Source organism: Homo sapiens, chromosome 2 (genome assembly GCF_000001405.40).
Source record: "Homo sapiens chromosome 2, GRCh38.p14 Primary Assembly".
NCBI lineage: Eukaryota > Metazoa > Chordata > Mammalia > Primates > Hominidae > Homo > Homo sapiens.
The window spans coordinates 63351152-63367031 of NC_000002.12; the positions used below are offsets into that span (position 1 = coordinate 63351152).

Genomic DNA, 15880 nt, shown 5'->3' on the forward strand with positions numbered 1-15880 from the left:
TTGTATTTTTAGTAGAGATGGGGTTTTACCATGTTGGTCAGGCTGGTCTTGAACTCCTGACCTCAAGTGATCCATCCACCTCGGCCTCCCAAAGTGCTGGGATTATAGGCATGAGCCACTGTGCTCGGCTCAACTTTTATTTTAGATAAAGGAGGTACATGTGCAGGTTTGCTACATGGGAATATTGTGTGATGCTAAGGTTTGGGGTATGGATCCCATCACCCATGTAGTGAACCTAATACCTGATAGGTAGTTTTTCAACCAATGACCTGTCCTTTCCTCTCCCATCTAGTAGTCCACAGTGTCTGTCGTTCCCATATTAATGTCCATGTATGCTCAATGTTTAGCTCTCATTTATAAATGAGAATATGTGGCACTTGGTTTTTGTTCCTGTTAATTCACTTAGGATTATGGCCTTCAGCTGCATCCACACTGCTACAAAGAACATGATTTCTTTATTTACAGATGCATAGTATTCCATGGTATACAGGTACCACATTTTCTTTATCAAATTCACCATTGATAGGCACATGAGTGGATTCCATGTCATTGCTGTTGTGAATAGTGCGGTGATGAACACAGGAGTGCATGTGTCTTTTTGGTAGAATGATTTATATTCCTTTGGGTATATACCCAGTAATGGGATTGCTGGATTAAAGGGTGACTCTATTTTCAGTTCTTTGAGAAGTCTCCAGACTGCTTTCCACAGTGGCTGGACTAATTTACACTCCCAACAACAGTATATAAGCATAACCTTTTCTCTGCAGCCTCACCAGCATCTGTTGTTTTCTGACTTTTTAATACCAGCCATTCTGATTGGTGTGAGATGGTATCTTACTATAGTTCTGATTTGCATTTCTCTAATGATTAGTGATGTTGAGCATTTTTTCATGTTTGTTGGCTGCTTGTATGTCTTCCTTCTTTTGAGAAGTGTCTGTTCATGTTCTTTGCCCACTTTTTAATGGGGTTGTTTTTTCTTGTTGATTTGTTTAATTTCCTTATAGATTCTGGGTAGTAGACCTCTGTTGGATGCATAATCTGTGACTATCATCTCCCATTCTATAGATTGTCTGTTTACTCTGTTGATAGTTTCTTTTGCTGTGCAGAAGCTCTTTCATTTAATCAGGATGCACTTGTCTATTTTTGTTTTTTTAAAAGTTGAAAATGTTTTTAAAAAGTGTTAAGTTTCAATACTTTCCTATACTTCATATTCTTATCTAAAAGGCAAGAATGATATAATTTCTGCTCCCAACAAATTCATGAGATTACAGTGATAAATTAATGTATGGCAATAAATATGCTTCAGAAATCAATGTGAAACCATTTTCAATGTTGAGTGCCGATACTTTATAACTTAGTAGTATGATAAAATATAAACTAAATGGATATTTAACTGAATCATGGGATGAATGCATTCAGGGAATCATAGTAAGTTGTACTTGACAAGACAACAGCCAGAAGCCTGAATACAGTTCAATATTCTTAATTCAATCTGGGTTCAAAAGCAAAGAGGAGAAGAACGTGGAGCCAGTATCTCCTACAGTGGAAAGGCAGCTGTTGAGCATATGATCTTGGTGCCAGACACCTTCCCTGGCCTCCATTAAGGCTAGGAACATACATAAAGGAATGACACATTCTCTACTTGAGGGTGCAAGCTCTGTGCCTTGGATGCTGGTATTCATACTTCACAAATAATGTGAATATGACATGAATTTACTGACTCCTGCTATGTCCTATTGGTGTGTAATAATGGTTATGCTAATAAAAAAACTAGTAAGGTAGTGGCCCTTTCTAATAAAAATTAGTAAAGTCCTTTTTTAAAAAAAATCATGGTTGTATACTCACATTGGGACTAATCAAGGAAACAACCTGACCCACGGAGAACAAAGAAAAGCACAACAGGACGATGGCCCACCCGGAAGCAACACAGAGCCAGGGAAGCAGTGAATGAATGTGTGACCCCAGGGAACCACGATTCTCCTACAGATCTTTGCAACCCTCAGGTCAAGAGATCTCTATGTGAACCCACTCCACCGGGGCCTTCAGTCTGACAGACAGAGCTACCTGGAGTCTCTGTAGAACAGTCCCTAAGGCACACGTAGAGACCATGGAGCCTTAGATACTTGGGCTTTCTGGCAAAAGTAGCTGCGGCTCCAGCAAAGTGGGAGGTTAGACATTGGAACATACCCCTAGGAAAGAGGCTGAATCCAAGGGACTGAGCAAAAACAGCCTGCAAGTCCCACTTCCACAGCACCTCAAAAGATAAGACCCACTGGCTTGGAATTCCAGCCAGCCCCTGGTAGTAGCATTGCACCTCCCTGAGAAGGCGCTCCTGGTGGGAGGGGCAGGCCACAATCTTTGCTATTTGGGTGCCTTAGCTGCTCCAGTCAGGCTTTGGAGAGTCCAAGCTGACCAGGGGTGGAAAGGATCCCCAGCACAGCACAGCTGCTCTACCAAAACGTGGCCAGGGTGCTTTTTTAAGCAGTTTCCCAATCCTGTTCCTCCTCACTTGGCAGGACCTCCCAACTAGGGTCTCCATCCACCTCCTACAGGTGTCTTTGGGCTGGCAACAGCACCGTATGTCCCTGGGATGAAGCTCCCAGAGGGAAAGGCAGGCTGCCATCTTTGTTGTTTTGCAGCCTTCCCTGGTGATACCTCCAGGTACTGGAAAATCCGAAGTGACAAGGGACGGGAGCAGGCCCCCAGAATACTGCAGCAGCCCTATAGAAAAGTGGCCAAACTGTTATATGTGGTTGCCCATTCCCATATCTCCTCACTGGGCAGGTCCTCCAGGTCTGAGCCTCCAGTCATCCCCTGCCAGAGCTATTGAGCCAGTAGCAAGTCAGCAACTCCCTGAACAGAGCCTTCAGGGGCAACTGAAAGCCTCTCTGCCACTGCCTCTACAGTGGAACCGCCCTTGCCACCCTCAGACTAACAAAGGGGCAAAGACCCTAAATGCCTTATCCACACCTCTTACAAGCTGCAGTAGACCCAAAGAGAGGCCAGTCCGTCTCCCACCAATCCCACACATCCCCAAGTGCTTGTCACCAGACAAGGAACCCCTGGCTTGGGCCCACAGCACAGACCTTCCATCCTGGGCTGATTGCACTGAGTGATTGCTGACCTGCATCTCTCTGGAGAAGAGCCTCCAGGAGACAAGCATACAACACTTGGCCATAACCACTATGAGGTCCCTTCCTCTGCTGCCTCCAAGTTGGGGAAGGAACATAAACACTGAGATCTCTCCAGAGCTTAAGTAGGCACCCCAGGAGTGCCAAGTCATGATCTACAGCCAGCACTCAAGGGGGAAAGGAACCCACACATTCAGAGCACTAATAGGGAAAATGGCTGCAACTGTGAGCAAACATAGGGGAGTCACAATCATTAAGCAAGAGTCTACCAACTGACCAATAAGTCTAAGTGCCACCAGCTGGATCACACCCCAAAGCTTCAACATTAAAAATACATATACACATACACCCACACCCCCACACACATATATGTGTGTGTATATATATGTGTGTGTGTGTACATATATGTGTGTGTATGTATGTATATATGTATGTGTGTGTGTGTGTGTGTGTGTATATGTATATAAAACCTAACAGGTCTGACAGAGCTGAATAACACAATACAAGAATTTCACAATGCAATCACAAATATTAACAGCAGAATAAAACAAGCTTAGGAAAGAATCTCAGAACTTGAAGATCGATTATCTGAAATGACAGTCAGACAAAAATAAAAAGAATAAAATGGAATGAACAAAAACTTGGAGAAGTATGGGATTATGTAAAGAGGCCAAATATATGAATCACTGACATCCCTGAAAGGGAGGGGGAGAAAGCAAACATGTGGAAAACATATTTCAGGATATGGTGCATGAAAACTTCCCCATCCTTGCTAGAGGGGCCAACAGTCAAACTCAGGAAATACAGAGAACTCCTCCAACATTCCACACAAGAAGAACATCCACAAGACACATAATCATCAGATTTTCCAAGGTCAAAATGAAGGAAAAAAATGTTAAAGACAGCTAAAGAGAAAGGGCAGGTCATCTTCAAAGCAAACCCCATCAGGCTAAGAGTGGACCTCTCAGCTGAAACCTTACAGGCCAGAAGAGATTGGGCACCTATATTCAACATTCTTAAAGAAAAAAATCTTCAAACAAGAATTGAAATTCTTGTTTGCGCCAAGCTAAGCTTCAAAAGTGAATGAGAAATAAGATCCTTTTCAGATAGGCAAATGTTGAGGTAGTTCATTACCACCAGGCCTGCCTTACAAGAGATCTTGAAAGGAGCATTAAATATAGAAAGAAAAGGCTGCTACCAGCTAATATAAAAACACACTTAAACACACAGGGCAGTGTCACTATCAAGCAACCATACAAACAAGCTAACATAATAACCAGCTAACAGCACAATGACAGGATCAAACCCACATATCAGCCAGGCACGGTGGCTCATGCCTGTAATCCTAGCACTTTGGGAGGCTGAGGCAGGTGGATCACTTGAGGTCAGGAATTCAAGGCCAGCCTGGCCAACATGGTGAGACCCCCCAACCCCCATCTCTACTGAAATATAAAAATTAGCTGGGCATGGTGGCGGACACCTATAATCCCAGCTACTTGGGAGGCTGAGGCAGGAGAATTGCTTGAACCCAGGACATGGAGGTAGCAGTGAGCTGAGACTGTGCCACTGCACTCCAGCCTGGGTGACAGAGCAAGACTCTGTCTCAAAAAACAAACAAACAAAAAAACCCCACATATATCAATACTAACTTTGAATGTAACCAAGCCAAATGCCCCACTTTTTAAAAGGTACAATGTGGCAAGCTGGATAAAAAAGCAAGACCCAATGGTATGCTGTCTTCAAGAGACCCAACTCACAGGTAATAACACTCATAGGCTCAAAATAAAGGGATAGAGGAAAATCTACCAAACAAATAGAAAACAGAAAGAAGCAGGGGTTGCAATCCTAATTTCAGACAAAACAGATTTCAAACCAACAATGATCAAAAAAGACAAAGAAGGACATTACATAATGGTAAAGGATTCAATTCCACAAGAAGACCTAACTATCCTCAATATATATGACCCCAACACAGGAGCCTTCAGATTCATATAGCAAGCTCTTAGAATACTTACAAAGAGAAATAGACTCCCACACAATAATAGTGGGACACTTCAACACTCCACTAACAGTATTAGACAGATCATCAAGGCAGAAAATTAACAAAGATATTCAGGACCTGAACTCAGCATTGAACCAAATGGATGTGATAGACCTTTAAAGAACTCTCCACCCCAAAACAACAGAATATACATTCTTTTCATTGCCATGTGGCACATATTCTAAAATCAACCACATAATTGAACATAATCCTCAAAAAATGTAAAAAAACTGAAAGCATACCAAACACACTCCTGGACCACAGCACAATAAAAATAGAAGTCAAAATTATGAATATCGCTCAAAACCATGCAATTACATGGAAATTAAAAAATATGCTCCTGAATGACTTTTGGATAAACAATGAAATTAAGGCAGAAATCCATAAGTTCTTTGAAAATAATAAGAACAAAGATACAGCATAACAGAATCTCTGGGACATAGCTAAGGCAGTGTTAGGAAGGAATTTCATAGCACTAAATGTCCACACTGAAAGGCAACCCTAAGCAAAAAGAACAAAGCTAGAGACATCATGTTATCCTACTTCAAAGTATACTACAGGGCTATAGTAACTAAAACAGCGTGCTACTGGTATAAAAACAGACACATAGGCCAGTGAAACAGAAGAGAGAGACCAGAAATAAGGCCACACATCCACAACCATCTAACCTCCAACAAAGGACAAATATAAGCAATGGGGAAGAGAGTATCTATTCAATAAATGGTGCTGGGATAACTGGCTAGCCATATGCAGAAGATTGAAGCTGGAGGTCTTCTTTACATCATACAAAAATCAACTCAAGATGGATTAAAGACTTAAATGTAAAACCTAAAACTATAAAAACCATGGAAGACAACCTAGGCAATACCATTCTAGACATAAGAACAGGCAAAGATTTCATGACAAAGACACCAAAAGCAACTGCAACAAAAGCAAAAATTGACAAGTAGGATCTAATTAAACTTAAGAGCCTCTGTACAGCTAAAGAAACCAACAGAGTAAACAGACAACTTACACAATAGGAGAAAATATTTGCAAACTATGCATCTGACAAAGGTCTAACATCCAGCATCTATAAGGAACTTAAATTTACAAGAGAAAAACAACTCCATTAAAAAGTGGGCAAAGGACATGAACAGACACTCCTCAAAAGAAGACATACATGCAGCCAAGAAGCATATGAAAAAAAGCTCAGTATCACTGATTAGAGAAATGGAAATCAAAAGCACAATGAGATACCATCTCACAGTCAGAATGGCTATTATTAAAAAGTCAAGAAACAACAGATGCTGGCAAGGTTGCGGAGAAAAGAGAATGCTTATACACTGGGGGCAGGAGTGTTAATTTAGTCAACCACTGTGGAAAGCAGTTTGGCGATTCCTCCAAGAGCTAAAAGGAGAACTACCATTTGACCCAGCAATCTCATTACTGGGTATATACTCAGAGGAATATAAGTCATTCTACCATAAAGACACATGCATGCAAATGTTCATTGCAGCACTATTCATAGCAGCAAAGACATAGAATCAACCTAAATGCCAATCAGTTACAGACTGGATAAAGAAAATGTGGTACATATACACCATGGAATACTATGCAGCCATAAAAAAGAACGAGGTCATGTCTTTTGCAGTGACATGGATGGAGCTGGAGGCTATTATCCTTAGCAAACTAACATAGTAACAGAAAATCAAATACTGCATGTTCTCACTTATAAGTGGGAGCTAAATGATACAAACATATGAACTGGGGTCTACTTGAGGGTGGAGGTGGGAGGAAGGAGAGGAGTAGAAAAGCTAATTATTCAGTACTAGGCTTAATACCTGGGTAATGAAATAATCTGTACAACAACCATCATGACACATGTTTATGTATGTAACAAACCTTCACATGTATCTCTGAACCTAAAAGTTTTTTAAAAAAGAAAAAAAAATCATGGTTGTATTTGCATTCTTATAATATTTCAGTCCTGTTACTATATTCCTGTTTTTTTTTTAACTAGCACTCACAGCTTTTATTTACAGAACACCTTACAGATTTAAAAATGTTTTCTAGTAATTGTCTTATTGGATACAACACTCCAGAAATACAGGAGATTCAGATGATTTGATTTCCCAGTATATAGATAAGTAGCTTGTCAAAGATCTCTTACTCTTTGGTAGAGACAGGGTCTTGCTCTGTTACCCAAGTTGCAGTGCAGGTGCAGTCACAGCTCACTGCAGCCTCATACTCAAGCAACCCTCCCACCTCAGCCTCATGAGCAGCTGGGACTACAGGTGTGCACCATCACACCTGGCTAATTATTTTATTTTTTGTAGAGATGGGGTCTCACTTTGTTGCATCAGCTGGTCTTGAACTAGTTGCCTCAAGCAATCTTCCCACCTAGGCTTCCAAAGTTCTGGGATTACAGGTGTGAGCCACCAGGATGGCCTCCAATGCTCTCTTAACTCTACCACTAACGGTCAGCATAGATGCAATTTAAAGGAAGTCAAATTCTTTTCCACTATCACAGATTATAACTCATTTTTTAAATCCCCAAAATTTCTATACAGACTACCCAGTCTCACTGCCCATTAGTCCCATAAATACTTTCTAGTCCCTGACAAAAGCCCTTGTTCCTAGGTTATACTTAGACTTGACATATTTCATTTTCTTCCCTGGATCCACTCTCTCCCTTACTTATCCGCTTTCTTATTTCTATGTATACCTATCTCTTCTCCCTGTCCTTGCACTCTCTCTTTCCTTCCCTCCCTTCCTTCCTCTTTCCACTTTCCCTCATTCCCTTCCCTTCTTTTTCCTTCTCCCTCCCTTGTATGTTCGTATCTCAATACTACTTTGCCAATATTTGAGTCTTACCATAATCCAATCACAACATTCTAGTTCCGACATCTACATTTAAACATCTATAATATCATCAAATTGTCTTGCAATATTTCTCTCATGCTTAAGACGTGCAACCTTGCATTTCCAAGGAAAAATCCATAAACTTTTTTAGAAGCATATGTTCAAACAATTCAGTTAGAAAATAGGCAACGGACATGAAAAGATATTTCACTAGAGAGCATAAAGATAGAACATAAGTACATGAAAAGATGTTCAATATCATTAGCCATCAGGAAAATGCAAATGAAAACCCCAATGAGGTATCATTACATATCTATTATAATAGCTAAAATAAAAAATGGCAATGCTAGGAGAAACCAGATCTCTCACACATTGTTGGTGGGAATGCAAAATGACACAGACATTCTGGAAAACAGTATGGCAGTTTCCTATAGAACTAACCATACATGGCCTAGCACCAGACTTAGCAATCACTCTCTTAGGCATTTATTCCAGAGAAATGAAATCACATCCATACAAAAACCTGTACATGAATGTTCATGGAAGTTTTATTTGTAATAGCCCCAAACTGGCCACAACCAAAATACCCCCTGAGAAGTGAATTCCATGATTTTTAAAAATTGTACTTTATGGCCGGGCACGGTGGCTTATGCCTGTAATCCCAGCACTTTGGGAGGCTGAGGCGGGTGGATCACAAGGTAAGGAGTTCAAGACCAGCCTGGCCAACATGGTGAAATCCCATCTCTACTAAAAACAACAAAAATTAGCTGGGTGTGGTGGCACATGCCAGTGGTCCCAGCTACTCGGGAGGCTGAGGCAGAAGAATCGCTTGAACCCAGGAGATGGAGGTGGCAATGAACCGCGATCACATCACTGCACTCCAGCCTGGGCGACAAGGCAAGACTCCATCTAAAAAAAAAAATTGTACTTTATAAAATAACATTTCTTAGGAGAGTCAGACTAGCAGCTTTATATATGTGTGAAAAAGAAGTATCTATTAAAACATTTCTAAGAATCATTTTTCCTCCAAACAGTACAAACCAAACCAAACCTTAGCTTTGAATTCGATTTTAGGCTGAATAATGGAAGTCTGTGTCTTGTTATAATTGCAGTTATGCAGTGGTTATGCAGAGAAACTTAAGCACCAATATTGCACAGTTAGTCTCAACTAGTACATATTTCGCTATCTGACAAAAGCTAATCAAGAAGACTACTTTGACTCCCTTCCAGAAACCCTTGTTGGTTTTTATTTTTTTTCAATTCTCTAGATTCTTTCAATTTTCCCAAATGAAAAAATTCTTAAACTGCTACCATACCTTATGCCAAACATAGGTTTAACAGAGATTTCTCTTAGACATCTATATCCAGTGAATAATCTCCATTATTCTTTCCTCCCAAGGAAAATCTTTATATTTTACTAAACCCTTACTACTTAGCGGCGTCTCAGTAGTCAGTGTTTAGCTCTGAATAAAGGCACGTGGTGCATTCTCTGCAAATTGCTTTCAGCTAAAAACAGATGTTAATTTAAAAACGTAGATAACATCCCATGGCACCTGTTGTTTCACACTTCTTTTGCTCAAGCCCCAGTGGTCCAAATCCCATCTTTTATTTCAATAATTTTCTGCAGCTTTTCTTCCATTCCAGCTGCAGGTCTTTCACTGTGATGATCATTCAAACTTAACAGAAAAGCCATGTTTTACTGAGCAAAACTATCAGGATGACTACACAGAGTCAATGCAGGCAGCCCTAAGTCACGGCTCTAATTTAAGAATGAAATATGTTCTAATGATAAATGTCAGTTATCTGGATGCAGTGTCTGAATAATTTTAACTATAAGAACAGGAACTTGGGAAATTAACTAAATGCATGTCCGTCTTCCAGCCGCAGATCTTAGTAGAGTGTTTTCGTGACAAGATAAGATGGAAGAAAGGAGAAGGACCAGGTCAGAATTCATAGTGACCTTAATCACCTAGCACATGTAGTTAGAACAGATTAAAGTTCTTTAAAAGTAACTGTGAGTCACTGGAAATAAAATGCATAAAATTGATTAAGATGGGGAGGGACTAGATGAGAATATTCAGAAACATTTACAGAGTGGATCAAACAAGAAATCAAGACTAAACAGTGTATTATTGTGGCCAAAATAGCTACTGAGATAATACATGTATAAATTGGAATATTCTGATACTGATCACTGGCCACTAATCCTAAATTACACCAAGCATGGGGTTACAGCCTCAATAGCTACAAAAAAGTAGACTTTTGAGCCTATTCTTCACTCTTGGCATAGTGCAAGGCATATAGTAAACAAGTATTTATTGAGTTAATGATGTTTGCAAAATCTAAAGAAAAATTTGTAGAAGATTATGAGGAAAGCAAGAATAACATAGGGAACATGGAAATAAAGCCAGTTAAGTCTAGTGCCATCTAAACTATGCACATGTGTCACCATTTAGGGTAGAAAACTCTCCCTACTTAATTTTATGTTGGTAGCACATGACCTGCTCCAAGCACTAGCCTGATTCTTTCATTTGTTTGTTGTTGTTGTTGTTTTCTTTATTTGGTTTTTGCAAACAGTGCAAGTGAAGAGGTGAAAAGAGAGAGGAGCAGTGAGGACAAGGCTGACAAAGGTTAAAGCTGTGCTTCTCAGAGCGGGAGGGGTGAGGCATCCAAGCTCCAAGATTCACGGTATCTCAGGGCATAGAAGCTTCACCTAAAAATTTGGGGTTGAGGAGGAAGGTTTTGAGCTTTTCCTTTTTTCCCACTTTTTAAAAATTGATATATCATAGTTGCATCTATTTTGGAGGTACATGTGATATTTTGACACCTGTGTACAATGTGTAAGGATCAAATTAGGGTAATTGGGATATCCATCACCTCATTTATCTTTTCTTTGTGTTGGGAATGTTTCACTTCTCTTCTAGCTATTAATTATTTTGAAATATACAAGTTACTGTTGACTATAATTTCCTTACTGTACTATTGAATAACAGAACTTATTTTTTCCATCTAACTATTTTTTGCAACCCAATTTTTTCCTCTTTAATGAGGTATTGTTACATGCATATCCTGGTAAAATCGGTAGAATCCCTTTTTTTTTTTTTTTTGGTTGTGTGTGTGTGTGTGTGTGTGTGTAGAAAGGAAGTGGGTGAGGGGAGGGGAAGAGAGAGGGAGGGAAAGAGGCAGATTATCTGGAAATAGAAAGTAAAACAATATTCTGCTCAGAGTGACTAGAAAATTTGTTATTATTATTTGGGTCATCAGTGGTGTTTATTAATACTGTAGTCACCAAGACTATGAATAGTACCCAGTACTGCCAGGAGAACAAATTATGTTAATAATACTGGTCTTCTTAGCTCTGCTTGTCCCCTGTGGTCTGAGTGAGCCTGATGTATGAAATCTCTAAGGTGTTCCCATAGATTTGAAAAATGAGCTGGCTCTCTCAGAAATTAATTTACTTTACATGAACATGAAAATTTTTGCTTCTATAAATTAAATCAATTTTCTTTTCTTAAGAGATGGGGTCTCACTCTGTCACCCAGGCTGGAGTGCAGTGGTGCAATCATAGCTCACTGCAGCCTCAAACTCCTAGGGTCAAGTGATCCTCCTACTTCAGCCCCCTAAGTAGCTGGAACTACCATACCCTGCTAAAAATCAGTTTTCTTAACAAGTATGATAAAATGTTTTATTTACAAACTAGGTTACTCTTAGGCATACTTTCTGCTTCAGTTTCCCTATAACATGAAAGTCCTTAAGATTATAGTTCAAGTACAATTTTAGTACTATTATTCATTTGTAATTTAAAAACTTAAAAATTTTGAAAATAAGAAAATACAAAGAACAACTTAATTACCACTGTTCACATCTGGATATATATACTTCCACTTATTTAGATTTTTTTTTAATATGGACAAAATAATTATTCTTGTTTTTGTAAAATGTATCTATGTTCATAAAAAATAATTCAAACAATACAAGAAGCACAAAGATGGAAATATATATCACTTCCACTTTGCAATACCCAGAAATTAACATGGTTCATATTAGATATGCATCACCCTCCATATCTTGCAGATGGAAGGATACGAAGGGATTCTTCTATGTTAATAGGTTTATGTTATACGTCCTATTGTTAATAAAGAATATTATGGCTGGGCGCAATGGATCACACCTGTAATCCCAGCACTTTGGGAGGCAGAGTTAGGCAGAATGCTTGAGCCAGGAGTTTGAGACCAGCCTGGGCAACATGGTGAAACCCTATCTCTACAAAAAATTTAAAAATTAGCCAAGTGTGATGGGGTGAGCCTATAGTCCCAGCTACTCGGGAGGCTAAGGTGGGACGACTGATTGAGCCTGAGAGGTTGAGGCTGCAGTGAGTCATGAACAGGCCACTGCACTCCAGAGTGGGCAACAGAGACCCTGTCTCAAAAAATATATAGAGTATTAAATTTAATTTTACTTAAAAAAGAAAAGCGAAATTTTATAGGAATTATTAACCTTCAAATACGTATTTCCTGACCATATTTTATTTTCTATAAGATCCCTCTAAAGTTAGGAGATTAGGAAGAATATATTTTTTTAACTACTTAATGACTTTTAAACAGTATTCTGGACTCTTTGTTTTGAAAGTGATAACTCTGATATTTTCTCCATTTCTCTTTCCTCCAAATTCCACTTTTTATCATATAGTTGTATTTTTACATTAACCAAGATAATACCCAATTTTTGCCAGGCACAGTGTCCTGTGCCTTAGTCCCAGCTGCTCTGGAGGCAGAGCAAGGAGGATTGCCTGAGGCCAGGAGTTCAAGGCAGACATGCACTATGATCATGCCTGTGAATAGCAACTGCACTCCACCTCCGGCAACACAGCAAGTCCCTGTCTTTAAAAAAAAATACTCAATTTCTTTTCTAATCATAATATCTATGGTTGTTTAGCATTAGTTACTCATAAGTGGATTGCTCAACACCATGATTCTTTGTTTTTTCATTCAGATTCTCCATTTCTGATAAGTCTTCTATTTACATTCATCGTTAAGCAGTTTTTTCACGAAGGACTCACAGATGCTATTATTCTCTGAAGACTTACATGATTGAGAATATTTGCCTGTTGCCTCTAAATGTGACAAAAATCTCAACCGAGTATAATATTCTCGGGTCACACTTCTAGATTCTTTTTTCTTTTCAGAGACTTTTTATTGAATTATATCTTTGAGTACATCTTCTGTTCCTATTAGTTTAATGCTGAATCATCTGTCTTCTATATCAAATACATATTTCTAATTGCCTTAATCTGTCTTTCATGTGCATTCACTGTGATTATCTCAAGTCTGTCTTGATTTTCACGGTTGTTTGTCTTTATTCCCTGCCTGTCACCTGTCCTACCTCTTCCCCAAGACACATAGCTCAGTGCTATTATATGTGGACCCAAACCCACCACTGTGATAGCACACCTAGGTTGGTCCATGTCTGTAGTGTTTTGTATGTCAAAATTACCTCTTAATCCATTCTCACAATAAAACTCTCAACAGAGTGCTAGGACCTATGAAGTCATTTCAATATTTTCAATAACCTCTTACTTATGAAGAAATTAACACAATATTACAAATGGAACTCTTCTTACATCTTCCTTCTCTTTCCTTTCATATTCAGACTGCATGCTCCAAAAAATTATCTCTTGCTGTTTAGTTTATAATGAGTTGGCAAACTTTTTATGTAAAGGGCCAAACAGTAATACACTTTGAGGGATATATGAACCCTATCACAAGTAAACCCTGCCATTATAGTATGAAAGCAGCCATTGGCAATATGCAAACAAATGGGCTTGGCTGTGTTCCAAAAGAACTGTATTTACAAAGATGAGAGGCAGGTTGTAATTTGCTGACTCCTGTTTTATACAATCAACTTTGGCAACTGCAGTCAAAGTAAAGGTCCCGGCCATGTACTGACTTGGAATGGGTGGACTTAAATAGTGTTGTTGTAAGGATTATATTAATAGCCAACTAGCACAAATTTGAACTCAGCACCACATGGCCCATGTGGAAGAATAAGTCAATGTAGGTAATGTGCTGACCTAGCAAGGTCTCTTCAGCACCAGGATTCTAACCAGTGCTATGCTCTACTAAAGGGATTCAGAAGACTATTCTGCTGTATGTAACCCCAAAGAATGGCAGGAATTTACTACAGCTATAACAAAAATCGTAATAATATTCAGTTACCTTTTGCTAAGAACTTTCAAATATTTCATTTGAGCTCAATAACTACCCTAGAAGTATGCATGGTAGGTGTTCTTTCCATGACAAAGTTAAGAAAAGTGAGAACTACAAAAAAAATTAAATTCCCATTCTTACAGCAGATTAGGAGTAGACTAGGACCTAAAACCATAATCTTTGATCTCTTAGGACTGGCATTTTTGGGGTAGCCCTTCTTTTTTCCTAATGGTAAGACTAATCAGAGCACCAATATTTTTTGAAAGCTCCTCGCTACAGGTTCGCTCAGCCCAAAGTAAGAGAAAATGGCCCTATGCAGACATTAGACAACTGCCACAATGGCTCAATGTGGAGCAGCATCCTCAACTGACATCACATGGTCCCATTTACCTTACCACTCGCAGAACTAAGTTTCATTGTAAAAAATATAAGTTCATTTAGTAGCATGTAGCCAAGCTATGGTTGTAAATATTATTGGATGTCTCAGATAAACACTGTTGTAAATTTATTTAACCCTAAACTATTTGTGTGTCATTCTTCATGACTTATTACAGATATTCCTTAACTGTTCAATGAGAACTTGGAAAATTTTGAACCCACTAGACAGGAGGTTAGCTTAGGGAACTGAGACTTGACTTGTCTACTCAAAGGTGCCTGATAAATAGGATCATAGAATCTCATGTTGGAAAGAACCTTAAAAGTACGAGGAAATCTCACATACCTCCACTAATTCTCCCAAATCCAGGATGACTCTCTTACTAGTTTGATATGTGGGGTTCTGTTTAATTTTCAAAAGGAGGCATTTTGTTTCAAAATATATATTGTCAATGAAGGGCAGCATCACCTTCAAGGGAGCAAAAGTTGGTCTTTAAGGAATGAAAAAACTCTTAGCTAATAACAATGATTTCTGTCCCTCCAAAGCCCAACCCTACATGAAAAGTCTTATTCCTTAGCATTTAATTGATCTTGTTAGAAATTAAAATCACTTAATTTAAAATTAATTTAAGTATATTTTTCCTCCTTTGAGAGGCAATAATGAAAAAAAGGTTGAGAAATGCTGTTCTAAAGATCATTTAGTCTACCTTTATCTAATTTGTGTATCTCTACAACACTGTCATCAATAATAGTTAGCACTCATTGTGCCCTTATTATCTATCTATCTTCCAGACTTTCGCTTAAATTCTTGTTACATGGATTATCATATTAATTCTCACAACATCCCAGTGTGACAGGTACCATGATTGTCCTTACTTACAAATTAAGAAACTGAAGCTAAGAAATATTAAGAATGTCCTCATATTCAAACTTTCATGTTGTTATACTCTATACCATACTGCCCTCTACATCAGTATGTATCTCCCTTCTTATCAAATACCTCTAGAAGAAAACTCCTTGTATCCTGAAGTGGTTTATTTCATAGTATGAAGGTGAAAGGTGTAGACTTTGAGGTCACATAAAACATACACACATCACACACATGGACTGAAGTTCTAATTCTAGTCTATCACACATTGTGGTTATTGAGCAAGTTATTTAATCTGTGTACTCATCTATAAAATAGGAATTATATATGGTTACATAGTAGAATGTGAGGTTTAAATGTGATCATGTTTATAAAGCCCTTACCTTTCACTAGCACACATTAAATAGTAGTCATT

At 38.7% G+C, this 15880-nt stretch overlaps 1 protein-coding gene across 22 annotated transcripts in view; it reads right to left on the reverse strand.

The window, feature by feature from the left end:
* The window catches only part of WDPCP (WD repeat containing planar cell polarity effector), a 721268-nt gene that overhangs the window by 231593 nt on the left and 473795 nt on the right, over positions 1 to 15880 (reverse strand). Inside the window, exon 13 of one of the 22 annotated variants that reach the window (NM_001354045.2) lies at positions 8543 to 8925. The exons of the other annotated variants lie outside the window; for them this stretch is intronic. Within the exon in view, the coding sequence (NP_001340974.1) occupies positions 8724 to 8925 (202 nt within the window). The 3' untranslated portion in view covers positions 8543 to 8723. Of the gene's footprint in view, positions 1 to 8542; positions 8926 to 15880 lie in introns of those variants that run through there. 22 annotated transcript variants of the gene reach the window in all.